Genomic DNA, 24,483 nt, shown 5'->3' with positions numbered 1-24,483 from the left:
GTTGACAGCAGTAGGCTTTTCAGATCTTCCCAGAGACTATGGGTAGGAGCGAGGGGAGAATGGTGGTCTGAGTACTAATTCTGCCAAGAGCCAATGCTATTACCAGCAGTAATGGTGACCATTGTGTGCAGGGGCCAGACCTTTCCTGGAGCATGTCGAGCCCTGAAGATCTTGTGTCAGTTCTCCCATTGAAGACTTGCAGGCTTCTCTTTTTTTTTTTTTTTTTTTTTTTCAGACAGAGTCTTGCTGTATCCCCCCAGGCTGGAGTGCAGTGACACGATCTCAGCTCACTGCAACCTCCACCTCCTGCGTTCAAGCAATTCTCCTGCCTCAGCCTCCTGAGTAGCTGGGATTACAGGCATGCGCCACCAGGCCCGGCTAATTTTTGTGATTTTAGTAAAGACATGGTTTCACCATGTTGGCCAGGCTAGAGTGAACTCCTGACCTCGTGATCCACCTGCCTTGGCCTCCCAAAGTGCTGGGATTACAGGCGTGAGCCACTGTGCCCGGCCCTTACTTGCAGGCTTCTTAAGTGATGAGTCCAGCCTCCCAGAATCAGCCTGGGAGAATGGAGGACCTCATTACGGGGGTCTATCAAATCTTTCTGCTGTGATTTCACCTTGTAAGACACATTTTCACACTCCAAGGGTAACCTGTGCTGAAAATGATAGCATCAGCTTATGGAGCCCTGTGCCGGGTTCTAGGGATGGTCTCTGTCCTTAAGAAACCCCAACCAATTGGAAGAGATGTTGGACATTTATGCTGTTGTGTGTCACGTGCATAGAAATCTATATAAAACTGGGGTTTCAGGGAAGGCTTAGTGGAAGAGGTGACACCTGTTAGATTTTGAGGGAGGAACAGAAGTTGGGTAGACAAAGTAATGGAGGTGAGGGAGAAGAAATATTTTAGGCAGAGTAGACAGCACATGCCAGGCACAGGGTCATGAACCAGGACATGGTCAGGGAACAGTGAAGACTTAGATCTGGCTGGAGCAAAGGCCTATGTGGGACAGAGATGGGAAACCAATCTAAGTGGGAAGGAGCAGAGCCTACCATGAAGGGTCTCATTGTGTGCAACGATATGGAATTTAAAGTAATCTTAAAAACTCTAAGGAGGTCTGGGCACCATGGCTTACACCTGTAATCCCAGCACTTTGGGAGGCCAAGGTGGGAGGATCACTTGAGCCCAGGAGTTGGAGACCAGCCTAGGCAACATAGCGAGACTCCATCTCTACAAAAGTTATCTTTTTTTTTTTTTTTTTTTTAATTAGCTGGGCATGGTGGTGTTGTCTGTAGTCCAAGCTACTACAGACGCCAGGCAAGAGGATTGCTTGAAGTCTAGGAGTTCAAGGTTATAGTAAGCTATGATTGCACCACTGCAATCCAGCCTGGGCAACAGAAGCAGACCCTGTCTCAACAAAACAGAAACCCCCCACAAAACTCTAAGGAGGGGCACTAACCGACAGCTAGGTGTGGGTGAGGACCAACCAGGAGGTTTCTGCAGTGATCACCTGGGCATGAAGGGGAATTGAACCAAGACAGCAAAGGCTCAATCCTCAGCAACTTCTGGTCCAGCCACCAAACTTATCTCTGTTTTGTCTCCTCCCCACAGCCAGCAGCCAGAACAAGCCACCATCTCCCCTGGGCTTTCACAGTAGCCTCCTGACTGGTCTTGTTGCTTCCACACTTACACTTCCTGTTCTCTGCAAGGCAGCCAGAGTGACCTTTCACTAATGTAAGTCATATTATGTCCCCTCTCTGCTGCAAACCCTTCAATCACTTTCCATGAATGGTTCTGGGAATAAAGTCCAGCTTCCTTCCCCTGATTCACTTGATCTGGCCCTTCCCACTTGTCTGACCTGTTTTCCAGCCCATGCTCCCTGTCCTTTTCTACACTCCTAACATGTGGTCTTTCTATTCCTTAAACTTGCCTGGCTCAGTCCCATGTTAGAGCATTTCTGCTGGCTCTTCTTCCTGCCTGGACCTTCACACAGCTGGAAATTCTTGCTTTTCAAATTGTAATTTATTTCTATTTTTATTTTTTGAGACGGAGTTTCACTCTTGTCGCCCAGGCTGGAGTGCAATGGCGCAATCTCAGCTCACTGCAACCTCTGCCTCCTGGGTTCAAGCGATTTTCCCACCTCAGCCTCCTGAGTAGCTGGGATTACAGGAGCCTAGCGCTGCATCCAGCTAATTTTTGTATTTTTAATAGAGATGGGGTTTCACCATGTTGGCCAGGCTGATCTCGAACTCCTTTCCTCAGATGATCCACCAGCCTTGGCCTCCCAAAGTGCTGGGATTACAGGCGTGAGCCACCACGCCCAGCCACAAGTTGTAATTTAAACATCACTTCCTGAGAGAGACTTTCCCTGACAACCCCCTCAATCTCCAGGAGTTCCTCAGTCATTCTCCATCAAATCACCCTGTTTCGATTCTCTGAACAGCTCTTACTACTTTCACTTGCGTCCGTGTGACAAGACCACCAAACAGGCTTTGTGTGAGCAACAAGGCTGTTTATTTCACCTGGGTGCAGGCGGGCTGAGTCCGAAAAGAGAGTCAGCGAAGGGAGATAGGGGTGGGGCCGTTTTATAGGATTTGCGTAGGTAGTGGAAAATTACAGTCAAAGGCGGTTGTTCTCTGGCAGGCAGGGGTGGGGGTCACAAGGTGCTCAGTGGGGGAGCTTTTGAGCCAGGAGAAGGAATTTCACAAGGTAAGGTCATCAGTTAAGGCAGGAACAGGCCATTTTCACTTCTTTTGTGATTCTTCAGTTACTTCAGGCCATCTGTATGTATACCTGCCGGTCACAGGGAATATGATGGCTTAGCTTGGGCTCAGAGGCCTGACAATTACTATCTGGTATTTTCCTGTTTGTCTATATATTTATTTTCTCTCTCCTCTGTAGTAGACAGTGTCCAAAAATGGCCACCATCAAATCCTTCTCCCATTGTATACACATGCTGCTCCACTGTTCAAGAGGTGAAGTTTATTTCTCCTTCCATTGAATCTGGACTCACCTCATGATTTCTTATTACTTGCTTTGACTGACAGAACAAGGCAGAGAGGATGCTGTGCCAGTTCTGGGCCTAACTTTCAAAAGGTTTATCAGCGTCTGCTTTTACTCTTGGAGACCAGCTACCATGTAGCAAGTCTGACTACCTCGAGACCACCATGCTGTGAGGAAGCCCAAGCTCTCCACATGGAGACAGGCCATGTGGAGGAGCACAAAAATGCTGATGTTTGACAGTATGAATGCTGGAAACCAAGGAATTGAAATGAGAATGTGGGATATTGGAGTTTGTGTGTTTTCAATAAGTTTAGGGATATTGAAGTTTACCATTTCAGTTCTGAGTTTTGAGAATGTACAGGATATAGAGATGGCTGAGGTGGAGAGGAGACAATGGTCACCAAAGTTAAGGAGGTGAACAAATTTGAGGCCAGGATACTGGCTGATTCACACATGAAAATTCAGCTTTTCTGTGGTGATGGCAGATCTGGCAGTGGGGAGAGGCACTGGAAGATTCCACTTGGGAACTGTTAGAGCCACACAGGGGCAGGTGGTTTCCTTGGAAACATCTAGTTTTGATGGAGGCAAACAGATTTCAGTCAAGAGTCTGCAGCCATAGAATGGAGAGACTGTTCACAACTGAACAGGGGTCTCAAGGGTGAGAGAGGGCAACCCAGGGAAACGGGTTATCAGGAAAGGCCTCAGTAGAAGACAAGTGAGGTGTGGGTGTGGCACCTCACTTGGGCTGAGAGTCGGGCAGAGTGCAGATTCAGTTTCACTGGGGGCAGAAGTGAAGGATGATTCGGATGAGATCACTGGGAAAGTTAACTGGCCTCAAGATTTTAGCTGACCTGGAGAGATAAAAATTTGGTTTTCCTGCCAACACATCCAGAAGGGGGAGAGTGTTTTCTGTTGGCAGTAGAATCAGCAATTGGAGACCTTTGCTCAGGACTCCAAATGAAACTCTGGTGACAGGATGCAGGGCAGGGTGTGGGTAGGCCCAAGTCGGTAAACACCCCGCTGGCCTCGGGACTGTGACTCCGAGCAGAGGGGAGGAACAGGAAGCTGAGCCATGTGGTGGACGAGAACCAGGCTTGCCTGTGCTGCTGTACCCTGCAAAGCTTTGAAATTCTTAATCATTTACTATTTAATTTAGGGTTTAAAAATTAATTTTATTAATTTTGAATAATTTGACATTGTAAATAATTTTTGAACAAGGGGCCCTGCATTTTCATTTTTCAGTGGGTCCTACAATGTATGTAGCTGATCTTACTGCTACACTACTGTGTGCATGGGAAGGTTTCGAGAAACCCATAAAACACAGTGCCCGTAGAGACAAAGACACACAGGAACCATTTTAACAAAGGCAGGTAGTCTGTGCTGGTTGAAACCCATAAGGAAACAGGGGAAAGTTCATTCATTCACTTATTCACTGAAAACTTTGTTAAGAGGGAGGAAGGGAGGTCCTGCTAGTGCCAGGAGCAGGGAGGGAGAAATAAATGACTGTCATGGTCCTCAAGAAGCTCCTACTCTGTGGAATAAGAGAAATGTACACAGGAACAATGCAGCAGAGTAAGAGCTGGGATGAAAATAAACACCTTCCTTCCATTTCTTCATGTTAGGGGTACATGGTTTGTCGAAAAGACATCAAGTTAAATTAAGGTAGTTCTGTCCTACTACACAGAAAACTTACACATGGTTTCTTTGAATATATGGTTTCCTCACAGAACACCAAAGAACCTTCCTCAACAGGAAACCTCAGTGGCTTGTTCCCTCTGTGTGAGGATGTGTTGAAAAGAACAAGGAGTCGATTTGGCAGGAAAAAAAAATGCATTTACTACTGAATGTTGGCATGATCCTGTGGTTGGAAGGTCAAAACAGAAACTGGCAGTGCTACTTTTTATTAAAAGTCCACTTGGGGACATCACATGAGACTCTTTGATCTTATAGGTCAGGACACTGAGGCTTTAGGACTCCTGAGGTTATTTGGTAGTGAGGCTGCTGGGTTTCTGAATAAAGACCTATGATTAGAGTATGATTTCCTGCCCTGCTTTCTGCGCTGTAGGCGTAGTCTGCCTCACTCAGCCAATCTCAAGGGAGGGAGGACCTGTGGCTGCAGTTTCCCAAATTATCCAAATTAGGACTCAAAAGAAGAGAGTTCTGAGGCCCAGCAACTCTGAGAAAATCCTGAAAAACATTGTGATAAAAAGGTACATCTTTCCTTAAAGCCAGAGCACTATGTCAGAACTGAGCCCTGAAGCTAAGTGAATGAAGGGCTTGAGAGTTGCTCTCAGTGGTGAAGATAAAATAGGTATTTAACCTTACTAATGGTGGCATTTTAGCCCAGAAGAGTGGAAGGGACCTGTGGTTCCTTTGCACTCATTACACTTAACACTTTGAGAGCGAGTAAGGCCAGCCCTAAAGTTCAAAGGAGACCCATCCATTTCCAACAGGCTACTTAAAAAAAAAATTCTTTTTGAGACGGAGTCTCGCTCTGTTGCCCAGGCTGGAGTGCAGTGGCGTGATCTCGGCTCACTGCAACCTCTGCCTCCCGGGTTCAAGCGATTCTTCTGCCTCGGCCTCCCAAGTAGCTAGGACTACAGGCGTGCGCCACCACTCCCAGCTAATTTTTTTTTTTTGTATTTTTAGTAGAGATGGGGTTTCACCATATTGGCCAGGCTGGTCTTGAACTCCTTACCTTGTGATCTGCCTGCCTTGGCCTCCCAAGGTGCTGGGATTACAGGCGTGAGCCACCACACCCAGCCAAAAAAATTTTTTTAACTGAGAAAAATATATGCTCATTGTAAAAAAAGCATAAAACTGCAAGAAAGAGATAATTTTTAAAAGCCACCTGTAGTCCAGAAATAATCACTGTTTTTTGGTATATTTCCAAACTTTCTTCTTTGCATGCATATACATATATAAATAGTTATGGGCTCACACCGTCCATGTTGCTTTGTTACTCTATTTCATGTAATACTAAATCATGAAAATTTTTCATGTCAATAAATACATTTAAACGATATTAAGTGCCTAAATATTCCTTTGTAGAGTTGTATTATTATTTATTTAATGAGTTGCCTATTATTGGAGATTAATGTTGTTTATAATTTTTTAAAAAAATTTTATTAGAGATGGAGTCTTGCTATGTTGACCAGGCTGGTCTCAAACTCCTGGCCTCAAGCAATCCTCTCATCTCTGCCTCCCAAAGTGCTGGGATTACAGGTGTGAGCCACCACGCCCAGTCTGTTTATAATTTTTGGTGATTATTCTTTTTTTTTTTTTGAGACGGAGTCTCGCTCTGTCACCCAGGCTGGAGTGCAGTGGCCCGATCTCGGCTCACTTCAAGCTCCGCCTCCCAGGTTCACACCATTCTCCTGCCTCAGCCTCCTGAGTAGCTGGGACTACAGGCGCCTGCCACCACACCCGGCTACTTTTTTGTATTTTTAGTAGAGACGGGGTTTCACCGTGTTAGCCAGGATGGTCTCGATCTCCTGACCTCGTGATCTGCCTGCCTCGGCCTCCCAAAGTGCTGGGATTACAGGCATGAGCCACCGAGCCTAGCCTAGGTGATTTTCTTAATTATTTCCTTAGGATATGTTCCAAAGAATTTAATTGCTAGGTCAAAGCTTATGACCTTTTAAAGGATTGTGATAGTGTGTCAGTCAGGATAGGCTAAATATTGTAACAGACATAGCCAACATCTCAGTGGCTTAACACAATAAAGATGTATTTCTCTTTTATGTCACAGTTCAACACAAGTCATTGGTTGGGAGTAGAGGGCACTCTGCATGGTCGTCTGGAACCAGGGTTTGCCTACATGATGGGTCTCCATTTGCCACCGGCCTTGGACGTCTCCACTGGATGCTCTGATTTCACCTGATAAGTAAAGGGAGAGAGACAGAGCATGGAGAATTACACAGGTAGTTTTAGGGTCAGGCCTGGCAGTGACTCACATCGCTTCCTCTGCCCACCTTCCAATTGTCCAGAACTCAGTCACATGACTGCTCCTAACTGCAAGGGAGGCTGGAAAGTGTAGTCTTCCTGAGTGTCCAGGAGGAAAACAAGAGTGTAATGGACCCAGAATAAGCATAGTCTCTGCCTCAAACATTACCAAGTGGCCAATCAGCAATGTTTTTCCAGTTATTTATTTATTTTATTTATTTTGAGACAGAGTCTAATTCTGTTGCCCAGGCTGGAGTGCAGTGGTGTGACCTCAGTTCACTGCAACCTCTGCCTCCCAGGTTCAAGCGATTCTCTAGCCTAAGCCTCCCGAGTAGCTGGGATTGCAGGTGCACTCCACCACACCCAGCTAATTTTTGTATTTTTAGTAGAGATGGGGTTTCGCCACGTTAGGCAAGCTGGTCTTGAACTCCTGGCCTCAACTGATTCCCCACCTCAGTTTTTCCAGTTTATATTCTCAACAGCAGGGTATGCGGATTCCTATTTTCCTATTCCCTCAATAATTAAGGGGATGATGCTCTTTCTGTTGTTTTTTATAGATCTGCATGGAACAATGCTGCTTCTCTGCATGACTAGAGTTTGTTTTCTCTTTGAAGATAATCTCACTAGGATCAAGACCATACCTGCTGGAGAGTCAGGACTCTGGATTTCTGATTGTTTTCAGGACAGCTACCCTCATCCTAGGCTGATCTGAGTTTCTGGGTCTTTCTCTGCCTGTTCTTTCCTCTCCCCTTCCCTTCCCTGCTGCAGAAAGTGTTTTATGTGGGTGTCAGCAACATCAGGACCTTTCAAGCCCCTTGCCCCAGTATCATCCCTGAATGCAAAACTCACTCAGAGGCCTGGGGAAGAGATTCGAACTCTGCTTTTCCTCTGCCACCTCAGGTGTGTTCCAGCTTACAAGACACTTTCACAGAAAAAAAGTTCAGGGAATGGAATTGGAAGGCAAAAATAGCTGCTCGATGCTGACTTGGCACATTTGACTTTGACCAAATCATCCAGCGCCTCGTCCTTAGTACTCTGGTTTCCACAGAATAATCCTCATGCAGTGAGTAGTGGAAGTCAGGAGGAATAAACTGCCTAGATGTCATGAAGGGAAAACAATGCACAATAGACTTGTGCAGAATCTATTCCTGTCCGTTTCCCTGTGAATCCAGATTGCTGAACACTGGCCGATGTCTGAGCTGTGGTTTCCCCCTGGATTTGAAATTTAGTTACTAGAAGACAATGCTTTTGAATGGCTTCTTGGCCATGACTTTCACAGGGCCTGCTGGCTGTTGCCTGATGATTGTCTGATAGGCCTAGCCCCTTGGCAAAGCAATGTTTCATTTGCAAAACTACGCTTGTCCGGTGCCTCCTGGGAACTGAAAGCCTGGCATCAGCAGAGGAACGCAAATTGGGCAAATCACGGATCTCCCAGGCGTGCGTTGCTTGGGGGCCATGGTACACAGCACTGCTAAAAGTCTAGGACAATCTATGTGTTTTAGGAGCAAACCAGTGCCTTGCACTTCTAAGCTGTATCCTTTGCTCCCTCCCTGAGAGGCAGCCGTGTGCTCTGGGCTTCCTAGGTAAGTGACTCACACCAACTATAAGCCTGGCTTATGACCTAGAAAAGGAAACAGGAAGTGGCTTAGAGACATAAAGAGCACAGCCCAGAAGGGGCTGCTGTGGAATTCTCCTCAGATGAGACGGAGTCCAGTGGGCAGAGGGGCAACTTAGCATCCTCTCTTTCCCCATGTTACCACGATGCTCTTGGCAGGGACCATTTGATGGGGATTCGGATGTCTTCCTGGGGTGGTGAGCAGGGGTGAGGGAGGGGGAACTGCTGCTGGGTCAGTAGCTCCTCTCCAGAGTGAGCCCATCTGTGGAATGCCATGCCCCTTCTCTATCCCATCTTTGCAAGTGGGCTTGGGTTCTTGGGATGAGTTCTTCAGGCCTTATAAATGCAAACTGTGCAGAGGTGCCTCCAACAAGAAAAACCAGTCTCTGGCAGGGCCCCTAAGGGCAGGATTCTGGAGAGGCCGCCCTGTCCTCAGTTTGGCCCTGGGACATTCTGGCCGAAAGTAGGATGGCTGCGGCAGAGGGAGGAGAGGGGCCTCCCTGTTGATGGAGGCCACCATGTAGGGCTTCACTATGCTTCCCTTTCTGGCTCTCCCAGGGAGGAAGGGTGGCTGGCAGCTGGCGGCAGGGCTTGTGAAGGCTTAGCCCTGGGCCTGGTCCTGCTTCTCTTAGAGGTGGCTGGTTGTGCAATGGCATCCTGGCTGCTCCTCTTGGAGCCCTGTGACCACAGTTCCAGGCTCCACCCCCATTTCTCACCGCCGGTGGTGAGAAATGGAATTTTTTTGTTTTGTGTTTTTATGCTGTTCCCGTAACACCCAGCACCAGTCCCCAAGGATGAGTGCTGAAGATCCATAGCCATGGCAGGGCAGGGCCTAGGTACTGAAGGAAGATCCCACTCAGAGTTCAGTTCCACCCACTGCAAAACGCCCTCCGAGGACCCTCACTAGACCAGTTCCTCCAAGTGCGGTCCGCAGGCTGCCATCAGCGGGATCACGGGGTGAGGAAGGGGCTGTTTAAAACACGGGTTCTTGGCCCCATCTGCAGACCCCCAGAATCTAACCCTCTCAGGGAGAGTCCTGGAAATCTGTGTATCTAGAAGCACTTTCTTCCCCAGGCTGGCCAGCTCAGAAATGTCTAAAAACTTTTCTCGATACCAATCCTGGTCTCATTTATTATCCTTCTCATGAAAATGATTTGCTTCCTTTCAGCCTTGTATGACCTCTGAAAATATGACCTGAAGCAGATGGATGCACTCACATAAGAAACATCACCTGTGGCCTTCATCGGTAAGCATGGATTGCTGTTTTCACTCAGGGGCTTTGAAGGAAGACACCTTTGATCATTGGGCTGCCTCTACTTTTCGCTGAGTTGTCACTATTAAATGCCCTTCCCTGGCTTTGCCTTCTCTCTTCTCCACCAGAAAATGGGCCTGCTGCTTGAAGAAGTTGGGCTCTTGGAGTTCTCTAGCACAGGGGCCATGAAAATCAATGACTTCCTTGTTTGCTGACGGAGCAGAGGTAGAATCTCTTGGTGTTTCCACGGAGAAAACACTGACCATGAAGAGCCAAGAAAGATGACATGATGAAGCCATCAGGGGAAGCACCAAACATCCTCAACTCTGCTCACCCATGGTTTTCTCCCGCCCTCCCAGAGCTCCTCCTGCGTGAGTAATGCAGTGTGTGCTGGTGCAGTGTCTCACTGAAAAAAGAAAGAAACCCTGATTTGCAGCATTGGCCAATTTCTGTAGTGTAAATACTCCCACCATAGCAGATTTCAGGTTACCAAGGGTTTCACAACTGGTTCACAAGTCTTGACTGTAATGACCAGCTCATGCAACTCCAGCATCTCATCATCTCCGCCCTGTCCCAGAAAATCCCCACATCACACCCAGGCTGAATATCACTTTCAGCTTCTCAGTCAGAAGGAGAAGTGGTTAACTATGCCAGGATGGTAATGACTAAATATCAGAATGGTGAGTGTGGAGGGTCAGGATGTCTGCCAAATTGGAGATGACTCTTCACTTCTCAATCTTGGTGTCTCATCTGGGGAAGCTGGAGGGAGACATGCACAGCTTCTCATGAACAGTCCTGGAAGCCCTTACCCCAAGGCCTCATGGGGCTCTCTCCAGGGCTTGCTCTTTGTCACTCCTTTAAAAGCCTGTCATTCATTGCCAGAGAACAGAAGACTCCATCCTAAGGCCAAGTTGAAAACGGCAGGCTTGGGAGCTGTCTAGACTCTGGGTCCTGGCTTTTGTCTTGGCTGGTGTCAAAATGGACTCTTTAAAAACTGTCCTCAGGAAGATTCCCCATCCAACTCTGAACAGCCTGGACTGATCTTTTTCTGATTTTTAGGGGTCTTGTGAACAAGAGTCAGGTGGGCGGGCAGCTCTTGTAAAGCTGAACATAACCAAATTTGTCCATAGCCTGTGACAGCAAAGATCACAAAATTCTTCCCTCCCCTTTAGGGCCTGGGAGTGACGCCGAACCAAGGGGAGGATAGTGACCTATTTTATCTCCCAAACATTGGGCAGCCAGTTGCATTTGCAGATTTAAAATCCACCCACACTACTGCAGTTTCTGTTCTCCTGCCCCCCCGAGCATACTTCTGGCTGGAGCTGGTTTTGTAAAGTGGAGTTGGCTGTGGGTGTGGGAGTCCTCCTCGGAGAGCCTGGTCTGACAGCCCCAGTCAACAGCCCTCCCATGGGCATTTGGGCTGCTCCAGTCCCGGCAGGTGCACAGCTCAGGGGAATCTGGTTTTGTCTTGGTCTCAGCCAGGGAAGTCTAGTTAAAGAAAGAAAAGGTTGGCCGGGTGCAGAGGCTCACACCTGTAATCCCAGCACTTTGGGAGGCTGAGATGGGCAGATCACGAGGTCAGGAGTTTGAGACCAGCATGGCCAACATGGTGAAACCCCGTCTCTACTAAAAATACAAAAATTAGCTGGGCGTGGTGGCAGATGCCTGTAATCCCAGCTACTTGGGAGGCTGAGGCAGGAGAATTGCTTGAAACCAGAAGGTGGAGGTTGCAGTGAGCCGAGATCGCGCCACTGCACTCCAGCCTGGGCAACAAGAACAAAACTCTGTCTCAAAAAAAAAAAAAAAAAAAAAAAGGTCTCGGTGGAAATGGCCTTGAATCTGGGGTCTCTCTCATATTCTAATCACTCAATCACTTAACAAATACTTATTGAGGGCCTACTAGGTGCCACACATTGGAAGACAGTGGAGGGTGAAGCAGAGTCTGCCCTCAGGGAGCTTACAGTTTAGATTACAGGCAAGACAGCCCTTACACACATAATTCCAGATGAGTCAATAATGACCAGGGTGCAGAGGCTTTGAAGCAGAAGCATAAGGTGCAATGGGAGCATAAAACAGGGAAGCCTAATGCAGACTGAGGGGCCTGAGGAGGGTTCCTTGAGAAAGTGAGGTTGAAGCTGAGAACCTGAGGAGTGGTTTTCACGCAGTGCAATTGAAGGTTGAAAGGGAAGATCCTCCAATGCACAAAGAATTCATGCTTCAGAAACATTCTCTTCCTGAGGATACATTTGGGAATTTAGGTAGAAATTAACTGTCTTGCCTTCATATACAGTGTAGTGGAGACCACTGTAGGTCTCCAACTTTTTGTCTTTTCTTAATAACAAGTCCCCAGTTTTTGCTAGGTACATAGCTACCCAGAGAAAAGATTATGTGGCCACCTTACTATGTTCTGGCCAATGAGATGTCAGCAGAGGTAATATGCGGGGCCTCTGAGAAGGCCCTTTCCTGCTACCTGGTACCTGGCTGGAGGCTGAAAAGCCATTAGGGACGAGACATGCTAAGGTTGGAGGGTCAGCGTATTACATGGAGCCTCCTTCCCTGATGGCCTTGGGCTGCCATACCAGCCCTGGATTGCCTAATTCCCGACTTCTTTTGTAAAAGGGAGAAATAAGGGTCAATTTTTAAAAAAGCATCTATTACTTTGACATTTTCTGTCACACACAGCCAAATATAATCCTAACTACTATACACAGCTTCTTTTCAGCTTAATGAAAAGATCATTGTTCTGCACTACACATAAATTACCTATTTTATAGAAAAGTCTGTGATTACAATAGCTATTTTCCCAGCCTCCTTCATCACCTCCTTGATCCCCTTATCCTCCCCTCGGCCCTGCACCTCCTCTCTTTCCTGACTCCCACACCAGAGCTAGGCCTGCCCTGGGCACTTTTGCCTCCAGGAATGAATGAGGCTCACAGCCCGAAGGTGCTCCAAGTCTTGGCTACCTTCCCTCAGTGGCTGCCCTGGCAAAGGTCCTGCCGCAGGGAATCACACAAAGTCCAGCAAAGCAACTGGTCTTTCCTGTCCATTCTCACCCTTCCCAAGAAAGTGTGAAGAGTTACAATACTCAGGCAGAGCTGGAAAAATCATACCCTTTTAGAGAATCCACAAGAATTATTGGAGGTGCTTTCACTGACCTGCCCTGCCTTGGGTTTTTCAAGCTACGCAGATGGGTTTTTCAAGCTACGCAGAATTTAATGGATCTGTTTCCCCAGCCTCTGGCTAACCAAATCCAAAACATCAAGAGTCAAGGGGAGAAGGTCAGCATGTTTAGTTACAAACCTTTGGGGCTGTCTGGGGTGATTGCAGGCCTCAGCATGCTGGCTTTGGGTGCGGTGAGGCTGGGGATGCATAGAATTCTGTCCCCTCTGCCCCTGCCTCAAAAAAAAAGTTGAAGGCTTAAACCCCAGTACCTCAGACTATGGCCTTATTTGGAGATAGTCTTTACAGAGGTAATCAAGTTAAAATGTGGTCATTAAGGTCAGCCCTAATCTAATATAACTCCTGTCCTTATGAAAAGGGGAAATTTGGCCGGGTGCGGTGGCGGCTCATGTCTGTAATCCCAGGACTTTGGGAGGCCAAGGGGGCGGATCACAAGGTCAGGAGTTTGAGACCAGCCTGTCCAATATGGTGAAACCCCATTTCTACTAAAAATACAAAAATTAGCCAGGTGTAGGGGCACGCGTCTGTAGTCCCAGCTACTTGGGAGGCTGAGGCAGAAGAACCCGGGAGGCAGAGGTTGCAGTGAGCCGAGATTGAGCCACTGCATTCCAGCCTGGGTGACAGAGTGAGACTCCTTCTCAAAAAAAAAAAAAAAAAAAAAAAGAAAAAAAGAAAAAAAAGAAAAGGTGGGGACAGACACACCCACAGTGAGAACAGCATGTGAGATACAGGCAGAGGTCAGGGTGGTGCTTCAACAAGCCAAGGAATACCAGAGATTGCCAGCAAACCACCAGAAGCATGGGAAAGGCATCCAACAGATTCTCCCTCTCAGCCCTCAGGGGAGCCAGCCCTGCCAACACCTTGATCTTGCACCTCTAGCTTCTAGAACTCTGAGAAGACAAATTTCTGTTGGTTATGTCACCTAGTTTGTGATAACTTGTCGGGGTAGCCCTAGCAAACTCAGGCAAGATCCTTCAAGTACCAAAGAACAGAGGAGTTTGGTGACAGCCACTGGAGTCAAGCGATTTCCCTGTAGCCTCACATCGGGACATGAAGATGTGGGGAGCAGCTAGCCTCCCCTATATTTCTGTAGCTGATGGAAAGTGAAAAAAAAAACCACCAACATCCTCGTGGCCTTGAAACGCTGCATCCCTTCAAGCATCGGATGGTTCCCTTTCAGAAAGGCTGTTATTTGCACCAGTAGCAACTATATAAGTAGTGCTTGCTAATTTGCCAGAAACTATTTGAAGTGCTTTAATATTCTAATTCCTTTTGTTGTTGTGACAGATGAGGAAACTGAGGCACAGAGAGGCTAAGCAACTTAAGGTTAGCAGCTAATACATAGAGAAGGTGAGATTTGGGGGTTTTTGTTTGTTTATTTGTGTAGAGCTGGGGTCTCGCTATGTTGCCCAGGCTGATCTTGAACTCCTGGCCTCAAGCAATCTTCCCACTTCAGCCTCCCAAAGTGCTGAAATTGCAGGAGTGAGCCACTGCACCCAGCTGAAAAGGTGGGGTTTGAACCCAAACAGACTCCCTCCAGAGTCCATACATTTAACCACGACATCTTTAAGTGCATGAACTGGAGTCCATGCGATCCTGTGTTGGACACAGTAGTTCCTGATTGAGATTGCTGTGCTGAGTGAAAGCCATTCCCAAGCCATGTTGTTTGCCACAGTGTGTGTGTGTGTGTGTGTGTGTGTGTGTGTGTGTGTGTTTTAACCTCTTTTGTCTATCACTGGTGGCTGGTGGCTGCCCCAGTCAGGGCTACCTTGAAACAGCAGAAACCCCAAAGCAGCAGGTTCCCCTCTCTTCTCATGCTCATTTTCTGGAACTCTTACCTGGCCTGGCTGGGCCAGAAGTCTCCCTTGGATATTCCTCTCAGTAGAGGAGTTCAAGGAGTCCTCTCTCCACCTGGAGGCAACCAGGGTATCCTGACAGAGACCAAATCTTTCAGAAAGGCCTTTTCTGCTCACTTCCTGGGGGTCATGTTAAACAAGACTACTTCCCAGAAAGCACAACTGACGCTGACTGGCAAGGACTGTCTGAATATCTATCATCTATCTATCTATCTATCTATCTATCTATCTATCTATCTATCATCTATCATCTACCTATCTATCTATCATCTATCCATCCATCCATTTAATCTTTTTTTTTTCCTTTTCCTGGCAGAAAAATCTAAATGTCTAAATGGGTAGGCATCTTTCAACTTATGAACAGTCTGCAAACCCCAACTAAACTTTCTTTGTTGAATGATTCTTGCATGTGCACAAATGCACACGTGAAAAAACTTTGTATGTGATCTCTCCCGCCTGGGTTCCCCCACCTCATCCACTGCTTGATTTCTGCTTGTGGAATTGGAAGTCCACAGGGATGGGGGAAGAAGGTCAAAGGACACCCACAGGCTCTGCAAAAGCCAGCCACTGGGCCAAGCTGCCACCATCCGGCTCCTCCCACTGCCTACTTTACCTGTCTCACCTCACAAGGGGCTGAGCTAAGGTTGCTTTGAGCATATAGGGCTTTTTTTTTTTTTTTTTTGAGACAGAGTCTCACTCTGTCTCCCAGGCTGGAGTGCAGTGGCACATTCACAGCTCATGGCAGCCTTACCCCCAGGCTCAAGTGATCCTCTCACCCAAGCTTCCTGAGTAGCTAGGACCACAGATGTGCACCATTGCACCTGGCTAACTTTTAAAACTTTTTGTAGAGATGGGGTCTCACTATGTAGCCCAGGCTAGTTTCAAACTCCTGGGTTCAAGCAGTCATTCTGCCTTGGCCTCCCAAAGTGCTGGGATTACACATGTGGACCACCATGCCCAGCCTACATGGGGCATTTTGTTAAGCAGAAATGAAGACTCAGTTGCTACTAAGCATCTGTGCCACTTGTACTGTGACGGTTCTTCATTTTTACTATTTATTCCTTACCATAACCAGATGTTAATCCCATTTTTAAGAGGCTGCATTTGAGGCCTAGCAATTTACTCTGGGGAACTTGAATGAGAGGCTTGGAGCCTGGGCTTCAGCAATTCTGAAAAGTCCACTCCGTGCCCATGATCCATACCACGTCAGTTACAGAGGTCCCAGAAATGTGTGCTAAGTCAGCATAGAGACTGTTTTCTGGGTAAGGACATTTGCATTTTCTCTTTTGTTTGTTCAACAATAAAAATGCTTTGAGTTGATTTTCTAGGCTTGGTAACAAAGAGGATGATGACAATAATGATGCAAAAGTATGTGAAATTGGGCTGGGTGTGGTGGTTCACGCCTGTAATCCCAGTACTTTGTGTGGCCAAGGTGGGAGGATCACCTGAGGTCAGGAGATAGAGACCAGCCTGGCCAACATGGTGAAACCCCAACTCTACTGAAAAAATACAAAAATTAGCCAGGCGTGGTGGTGGGCACCTGTAATCCCAGATACTCAGGAGGCTGAGGCAGGAGCATTGCTTGAATCCGGGAGGCAGAGATTGCAGTGAGCAGAGATCACACCACTGCACTCCAGCCTGGGCAACAGAGTGAGACCCTGTCTCAAAAAAAAAAAAAAAAAGTACGTGAAATTGGTGGTGAATCATGTACTAGGGCCTATGCTGTGGGAGGCTCATGGACAACACAAACATGAGCCTTGCTTTTTAGGAGCCTAAAGTCTGAATGGGAAGGTCAAAATCTATGTGAAGCAAGTGGACAACTGAGGTTTCTCTAAACTGAAAGTGGCTTTACTGAGGATTTGCCGATCGTAAGGACAGAGACCCCTCCACATGTTTCAAGAAAGGAGGGATTTAATGTAGGAGTGCAAGTGGTTGGTGCTGTCATGGAGACAGCTCCGAGGCCTGGGGAGGCCTCTCCATCTCACCCCTCCCTCAAGATCCCTGCTCTCTCTGTGCATCTGTCCCCTGCTCCTGTCTCTAATGACCCTTCCTCTGCTCATTCAGCTCCTGTTCTCTCCTAATTTCAACTTACACATAACTTCACCAGCCAGGATTCTCTTTCCACCTCTAGACATCCTTTCAGCTTCAACTACTACCCTAAGTGGTTCATTCTTTCTGTATTTGGTAGTTCTAATTCCCAGGAGAGGCTCTGATTGGCCTAGCTCCTAGGCCTCTGTGAGCCTGTGCTTTAGCAATCCTTGGTCACTTGTCCCTCCTGACAGTCCGGTCAGATGTGGCCAGGAGTAATCACAAGATCACCTAAAGGGCTCTGGGCAGCTAGACACCTAAAACAACTCCGGGATGGGGGTTCTTGATGACAATCTCAACTAAAGATCATAGGAAAGAGAATCGTTCTGAGCTGGAAAGAGTGGAATTCACAGGGCAGTGAGATGGCCAGGGCTTCAACACACAGCATTTACATCATAGGAGAGAAGAGGAAGCTGACAAGCAGGAATGGCTATGGTGGTAAACTGTTGCAGTTTTCAAAATTATTTGTTTCCCTTCCCCATGGAAGGATTCTACATTCCTACCCAGATGATATCACACTTGGAAGTGTGAAACTTTTACCAATGAAATATGAGTAGAAGGGATGTGTGTCATTTTAGGCAAAAGCAATGGATAACCATTGCATGGTTCACCATGTTCCCTTTTCCCTCTGCCACGAGAACAACACAGTCCCACATAGGGACTGCTCCATCCCCTCAGGTCCCAGAATGGAAACAACCTGGGGCAGAGACAGAACTCAATCGTGACAGTCCATGATGGATGCATGATGCGAATAAGTCAATCTTTGTTGTGTGAAGCCACCGAGATTTTGGGGTCATTTGCTACTGTAGCATAACCTAGCCTATCCTGACTGAGACAAGGAACATGTTGTGTTTTTAGAATATCAGATAGATGGGAGAGAAGGATGGCAGTGAAGCGGTAATGAGAAGTGGGACCAGGAATCCAGGTGTCAGGGAAGGAAGACACGAAGCAGGCAACAAGAGAAGATCTAGAAAGAAGGAGGAGACTCTGAGAGCCATTGTAAAGGAAGAGGTAGCCAGTTTTGGTAACAGGTTGTGTGTTATTCTGCTTGAGCTGTGATTATGGTTTGGCTGTGTCCCCACCCAAATCTCATCTTGAATTCCCAGTGTGGGAGGGACCTGGTTGGGGGTGACTGAATTGTGGGGGCAGGTCTTTCCCATGCTGTTCTTGTGATAGTGAATAATTCTCATGAGATCTGATGGTTTTAAAAAGGGGAGTTTCCTTGAACAAGCCCTCTTTCCTTTTCTGCCACCATGTGAGATGTGCTTTTCACCTGCCATGATTGTGAGGCCTTCCCAGCCACGTGGAACTGTGAGTCCAATAAACCTCTTTCTTTTGTAAATTGCCCAGTCTCAGGTATGCCTTTATCAGCAGCATGAAAATGGACTAATACAAGCTGCCATCACAAAATGCTATAGATTGGGTGGCTTAGACAACAGACACTTATTTTTCTCACAGTCCTGAGAACTGGATGTCTAAGATCAAGATGCCACTGGCAGAGTGGGTTTCTGGTGAGTTCTTTCTTCCTGGCTTGCACATGGCCACCGTCTTGCTGTGTCCTCATATGGCCTTTCCTCTGTGTGTACAAAGAAAGAGAGCGACAGGTTTTTGGTGTCTCTTCCTCCTCTTATAAGGAAATCAGTCCTGGCCAGGCACCATGGTTCACACCTGTAATCTCAGCACTATAGGAGGCTGAGGTGGGAGGATCACTCGAGGCCAGGAGTTTGAGATCAGCATGGGCAACATAGTGAGACCCTGTCTCTACAAAAAATAAAAATTAGCCAGGCATGGTGGCACATGTCTGTAGCCCCAGCTACTGGGGAGGCTGAGGCAGGAGAATTGCTTGAACCCAGGAGGTGAAGTTTGCAGTGAGCCGAGATAGTGACACTGCACTCTAGCCTGCATGACAGAGCAAGAACCTATCTCAAAATTAATTAATTAATTAATTAAGTCTTTTTTAAAAAGGGAAGCCCAGTCCTATCAGATTAGGACACTGTCCTTATGACCTCATTTAGCCTTACTTCCTCCCTTAAAGCCCCTGTCTTTAAATATAGTCACATTGAGGGTAAGGGCTTCAACATACGCATGTTGTGGGGGCAATTCAGACCAGAAAAGGTTGAAATAGGGAACAAAGGAGAGTAAAGGATGAAAAAAATTCCTTATTTACTAGTCTGTCATAGTTGGGAGTTGGAACCACTTTGAGGTGAAGGTTTACTTTCAGACAAATGGAATCAGTGGTGGGGTGGTCGTGTAGCTAGTCATTTCCCGCCGGCACTTGGGATTGGGCTCAGGGCTAGAGAAAGAGATCTGGGTGAGTCAGACTATGGAAACTGTGTTTTGGTTTATAAATATATCCAAATGGGTTGTGAGAAATGGAGCACGAGCACCACACTTGAGGAGAGAGGCCACGAAGAGGACCCTCAATCCTAGATGGACAGAAGGAAGAGGAGGGAATAAAAACAAAGATCTCCCAACGGCATCACTCTACTGCTGGGGGCAGACCCTGGGACAAATTGCTCTGCCACCTGAGATCGCTGAGCAGAGTCCCCATCATCCGGGAGAGCAGCCAGCCAGGTAGGCCCAGGATGAGGGCTCGTGTGGCATGGGGCACGGGGCAGAGCTCTCTTAGGTTGTTAATGTGGTGGGTCCGGCACAACTAAATGCAACTCAGAGATGATTTATTTTTTCAGTGTTTAAACCTTATTCATACTCTTGTTAAAATTTCACTGCAAAAGGCAGTGCATGGTGGCTCATGCCTGTGGTACCAGCACTTTGAGAGGCTGAGGTGGGCAGATCATTTAAGCCCAGGAGTTCGAGACCAGCCTGGGTGACATAGACCCCATCTCTGTTTTTGAAAAATAAAATTAAGTAATAAAGAAGAAAAAATTTGGCTGGGCGCGGTGGCTCACGCCTATAATCCCAGCACTTTGGGAGGCCGAGGCGGGCAGATCACGAGGTCACGAGATCGAGACCAGCCTGACTAACATGGTGAAACCCCATCTCTACTAAAAATACAAAAATTAGCCGGGTGTGGCGGCACACGCCTGTAATCCCAGCTAGTCGGGAGGCTGAGGCAGGAGAATGCTTGAACCTGGGAAGTGGAGGTTGCAGTGAGCCAAGATCGCACCACTGTACTTCAGCCTGGTGATGAGCGAGACTCCGTCTAAAAAAAAAAAAAGAAAGAAAGAAGAAAAAATTCACAAAAAAAAATCCATGAGGTAGGTGTCATCTCCATTGCCGAGAAGATGAAACAGAAGATCAGAGAAGCAAGGGAACTCTTCTGAGGTGAACAGCTCAAGAGACTGAGGCAGGTCTCTTACCACTGTCACGTGGGTCCCCGTGAAGAGTCCACCAACAGGTTTGTGTGAGCAACAAGGCTGTTTATTTCACCTGGGTGCAGGCAGGCTGAGTCCGAAAAAAGAGTCAGCAACGGGAGATAGGAGTGGGGCAGTTTTATAGGATTTGGGAAGGTAGTGGAAAATTACAGTTAAAGCTGGTGGTTATCTCTTGCAGGCAGGGGCGGGGGTCACAAGGTCCAGAGTGGGGAGATCATGAGACTCACTGTCCAGTGGAGGGGGGCGGGGGGGAATGTCACAAGGTCGATTGATTAGTTGGGGTGGTGCAGGAACAAATCACAATGGTGGAATGTCATCTTTTGTGGTTCTTCAGTTGCTCCAGGCCATCTGGATGTATACATGCATGTCATAGGGGTTATGATGGCTTAGCTCAGGCTCAGAGACCTCAATCACCACATTGCCTTTGGGATTCCACCTGCGTCTTCCTTTGGAGAAGTCCCTCATGTGGAGATTTTGCAGGGTTTAGCTTGAACGCAGTTCAAGGCAAGGGGCAAGAAACCATTTGAAGTGATCATTTCCCAGCTCTGAGGGTCTCTTTCCTGTGAGTTTGGTCACAGTTTAGCCTCTGTCCTTGGAAACTTCCCAGAAATAAGACCAAGACTATCTTTAATATTAAGGGGAAAACAGGGCTTTTGCACTAAGAAAGATCTTCATTGCTTTTGAAACTCCTAAAGTACACATTTATGTTTTCTCTTGCTTGGAGAGGTCATCCAAGAACTGGCCACTCCCTGACATTTCTATGGAATCTCTTTTTCTGGAATGGTCTTCCTAGATCCCCTGGATTCCAAAAAAGTACATCCGGAAGTTCCCATGGCAAGGTTCTCATGGTAGTAACAGTGTGTACATAATTCTGTTTAATACTCCTTGCTGCTATGTGAGATGCACAATTGCACCCATTGTTCCCGTTGGCAGAAACTGACTTCTGGCTCCAACTTCTTCGTTTTCTTCTACTTCTACTTCTACCAAGGAACAGCTGGAGAGATGAGTTTGCTGGCTCACACACAATAGGCCCCAAAAGCACCTCCAGTCCTCCCCCAGCTGTGTGAAATTAACTCAGCACTGTTTTGTATAGTAAGACATACTGGCATCGCTGAGTGAATGCCTAAGCAGCTCTCACTGTCTCCACCTGGCCTAAGAGGTCCAATGGGTGCTACCTCTCTGGTGTGTCTGGTCCCGGGATATTCAACTGAAATCCCCCCGCTGAAAGGATGGTAAAGCAGTATTCCTGTTGGATATTTAAAACAAGAAGCTGTGAAGGTTCCCAAAGGCTCTGAGTCTCCACTTCAAGGTCAAGAAAAAAGCGTTAACCTAGTTTAGCTGTATTTTAGGAAGCAGATGCTGGGCACCTGAAAGGCCAAATTTTGCTTCTAGCCACAGGTTTTCTGCAGAGAAAACAAGACAGAGCTCAACTTAGGGCACATAGATGAGCAGGATAGGGGATGTTGCTTAAGGACCCTGCAGCTCTGGACCCACCAATGACTAAGTGTGTCAGAAAGAGCACGTGTGACCATGTTCTGTGGAATGTATGCATTTGTAGGATGCTTTCTGCACAGGCACTTTTCAAAAAGCTTTCTCTTTGGAGGTGTGTGTGGGGCAGACAGGGCTGGACCAATATAGGGGTGAGCAGGGATGGGGAGGACATAGTGAGTGAAGGTTCCACCATTACTGTAGCCTCTGAAAACATCATATGGAAATTCCATCCCAACTGGGAAGCCAGAGTCATGGGAAGTCAACTTACTCCCCTTAAGTTACAGAACAGCCACCAAAGAGGAACCCCATTTCTTTTGTTTTTGTTTTTGTTTTTGAGACGGAGTCTCACTCTGTCACCCAGGCTGGAGTGTAGTGGCGAGATCTCAGCTCGCTGCGACCTCTGCCTCCCAGGTTCAAGCGATTCTCCTGCCTCAGCCTCCTGAATAGCTGGAGTCCCAGCTATTCAGGCACATGCCACCACGCCTGGCTAATTTTTTGTATTTTTAGTAGAGATGGGGTTTCACTATGTTAGCCAGGATGGTCTCGATCTCCTGACCTCATGGTCCACCTGCCTCGGCCTCCCAAAGCACTGGGATTACAGGCATGAGCCACTGCACCCAGCCAAGGAACTCCATTTGTAAAGTGTTATAAGGCTCATACATTACGCATCTTATTTGGTTAACATTTGCACTGGCCACAACTTCTATAAAGGAAGCTGGTGTATTCTAGCAGCCCACCAACTGGAATTCTCTCCCTTAGGCCTGGAAAGATCACTAAGTCTTGTGCCAAGGAGGCACTTGCCCCAGGCCTCCTGGGAAGCTTTCTTTATTCTGATTCACCAGTTTCACCCCTGAAAGTGGTATAGGACAAGGCCTTGTTGGCTAGCTATGTGGATGCAGGGATTTCTTGTTTGCCTAGAAAAAAAAAAAAAGCCAAGAAAAAAACCCAGTGTTTTTTTCTGTTGCTATGTAACGAATCATTCTTTTTTTTTTTTTTTTCTTGATGGATTCTCGCTCTGTCCCTCAGGCTGAAGTGCAGTGGCTTGATCTCAGCTCATCGCAACCTCTGCTCCCTGGGTTCAAATGATTCTCCTGCCTCAGCCTCTTGAGTAGCTGGGATTATAGGCGCCTGCCACCGCACCTGGCTAATTTTTGTATTTTTAGTAGAGATGGGGTTTCACCATCTTGGCCAGGCTGGTCTTGAACTCCTGACCTCATGTTCCACCCACCTCAGCCTCCCAAAGTGCTGGAATTACAGGCATGAGCCACCGTGCCCGGCTACAAATTATTCTTAAACTAAGCAACTTAAAACAACAAACATTTATGATCTCACAGTTTCTGTGGGTTAAGAATCTGGGGCTTAGTTGGCAGTTCTGCCTCATGGTCTCTCACACAGTTGCAGTTAACCTGCTGGCTGGGGCTGGTGTCATCTGAAGGCTCAACTGGGGAAGGATCTGCTTGCAAGCTCAGTCATGTGGTTGTTGGCAGGCCTTACCTCCCTGCTGGCTGTTAGCCAGAGACATCTGTTCCTCACAACCTGAGCCTCTCACAGTGTGCCTGAGTGTCTCATGACATGACTGCTGGTTTCTCCCAGAGTGATCCAAGAGAAAGATAGAGGAAGAGAAGGAGAGAGAGTCCATGACAGAAGCCATAGTCCTTTATAACCTAATCTCAGGAGTGACATTCTATCATTTCTGCTACATTCTTCTGGTGACACAGAAAACACTGATGTGGGCATAGGCTGTGCAAGGGTGTGAATTCCAGGAGGCAGGGACCTTGGGGGCCATCATGGAGGCCTGTTTCAGAAAGGAGAGAAGGCGAGGGAGAGCATCATGCAATGAAAAGTTTAGTGGTATGACCTGGCTAATGAATGAACAGCTCTTCTATTAACGGGATGAGTGTCTTTCAAAAGTCAACATCTCTGGGCCTTGCCTGTAAAGTCAGGTATTTGGACGAGTACGATCTCTAAGTTTTCTAAAGTCTGGGGTATTTGCACTTAGAGGTTATTAGGAGAGGAGTGAAGAAGGGGAAGAGAATAGGGAGACAGAAACTTGAGCCCCATGAAGCAGCCTGAGCCCTGAACCCTGAGCCTGCTCAAGGCTCCAAGCCCCAGTCCTAGTGGATTCCACAGCTCCAGGACCAGGCTGGATGCCCAAGTCCTGCCGTTTGCTGAATGAGGAAATGGGAACAGTGAGCTCTAATTTAATAGCTCCTGCCCTGTTCCCTGAGGTTTCCAGATCTATTTCTGTGCACAAGCAAACAGAAATAAGTGAGGGCACACCGAGCCTGGGGAGAGGGCGCTCCTGGTATACAGGAGCCAGGACCAGTTTGTGTGTAAAATGATGGGGCTTCCTAATTGCCTAAATGTTTTTCAGAGTGGAGTACCGTCATCCTAGCAACTGCTAGCACCTGAGCAGTTCTTGAGACCATCATTGCTTCTTATTTCACATCCTGCCCAACCCTTCCAGATCCTTCTACCCACTGGTAACTGGGATCTGCTGGACCTCACGGAGCATATTATTGAATGGGCACCAGGGAACCTCGATGTTAAAGTGCCCTTAGAATTTTTTTTTCTTTGAGACAGGGTCTTGCTCTGTTGCCCAGGCTGGAGTGCAGTGGCACAATCATAGCTCACTGCAGCCTCAAATCCCTGGGCTCAAGCCATCCTCCCACTTCAGCCTCCTAAGTAGCTGGAACTACAGGTGTACACCACCATGCT

General features: G+C 47.4%; 1 long non-coding RNA gene across 1 annotated transcript in view, besides 5 other annotated features; it reads left to right on the top strand.

Moving 5' to 3' along the window:
• The window catches only part of LINC01599 (long intergenic non-protein coding RNA 1599), a 97,731-nt gene that overhangs the window by 55,843 nt on the left and 17,405 nt on the right, over positions 1-24,483 (top strand). Inside the window, exons 4-6 of the long non-coding RNA NR_131171.1 lie at positions 1,612-1,734; positions 9,732-9,809; positions 9,944-10,186. This is a non-coding gene — a long non-coding RNA (long intergenic non-protein coding RNA 1599). The remainder of the gene's footprint in view (positions 1-1,611; positions 1,735-9,731; positions 9,810-9,943; positions 10,187-24,483) is intronic.
• Positions 1,636-1,930: a silencer, noted in NCBI's record as "tiled region #10345; HepG2 Repressive DNase matched - State 5:Enh, and K562 Repressive non-DNase unmatched - State 23:Low". NCBI's record gives its function as "represses a minimal TATA promoter and a strong SV40 promoter by Sharpr-MPRA in HepG2 and K562 cells {active_cell/tissue: HepG2 | K562}" and the evidence as "EXISTENCE:reporter gene assay evidence [ECO:0000049][PMID:27701403]".
• Positions 10,456-10,750: a silencer, noted in NCBI's record as "tiled region #12952; K562 Repressive DNase matched - State 8:EnhW". NCBI's record gives its function as "represses a minimal TATA promoter and a strong SV40 promoter by Sharpr-MPRA in K562 cells {active_cell/tissue: K562}" and the evidence as "EXISTENCE:reporter gene assay evidence [ECO:0000049][PMID:27701403]".
• Positions 10,547-10,596: an enhancer, noted in NCBI's record as "active region_8337". NCBI's record gives its function as "activates an Ori minimal core promoter by ATAC-STARR-seq in GM12878 lymphoblastoid cells {active_cell/tissue: GM12878}" and the evidence as "EXISTENCE:reporter gene assay evidence [ECO:0000049][PMID:35858748]".
• Positions 11,187-11,276: a silencer, noted in NCBI's record as "silent region_5717". NCBI's record gives its function as "represses an Ori minimal core promoter by ATAC-STARR-seq in GM12878 lymphoblastoid cells {active_cell/tissue: GM12878}" and the evidence as "EXISTENCE:reporter gene assay evidence [ECO:0000049][PMID:35858748]".
• Positions 23,059-23,275: a silencer, noted in NCBI's record as "fragment chr14:50492644-50492860 (GRCh37/hg19 assembly coordinates)". NCBI's record gives its function as "represses an EF-1alpha promoter that drives an FKBP-Casp9 reporter gene in an ReSE screen in K562 erythroleukemia cells {active_cell/tissue: K562}" and the evidence as "EXISTENCE:reporter gene assay evidence [ECO:0000049][PMID:32094911]".

This window comes from Homo sapiens, chromosome 14, assembly GCF_000001405.40.
Source record: "Homo sapiens chromosome 14, GRCh38.p14 Primary Assembly".
Classification (NCBI taxonomy): domain Eukaryota; kingdom Metazoa; phylum Chordata; class Mammalia; order Primates; family Hominidae; genus Homo; species Homo sapiens.
This window is presented reverse-complemented; position numbering and strand designations above follow the sequence as displayed.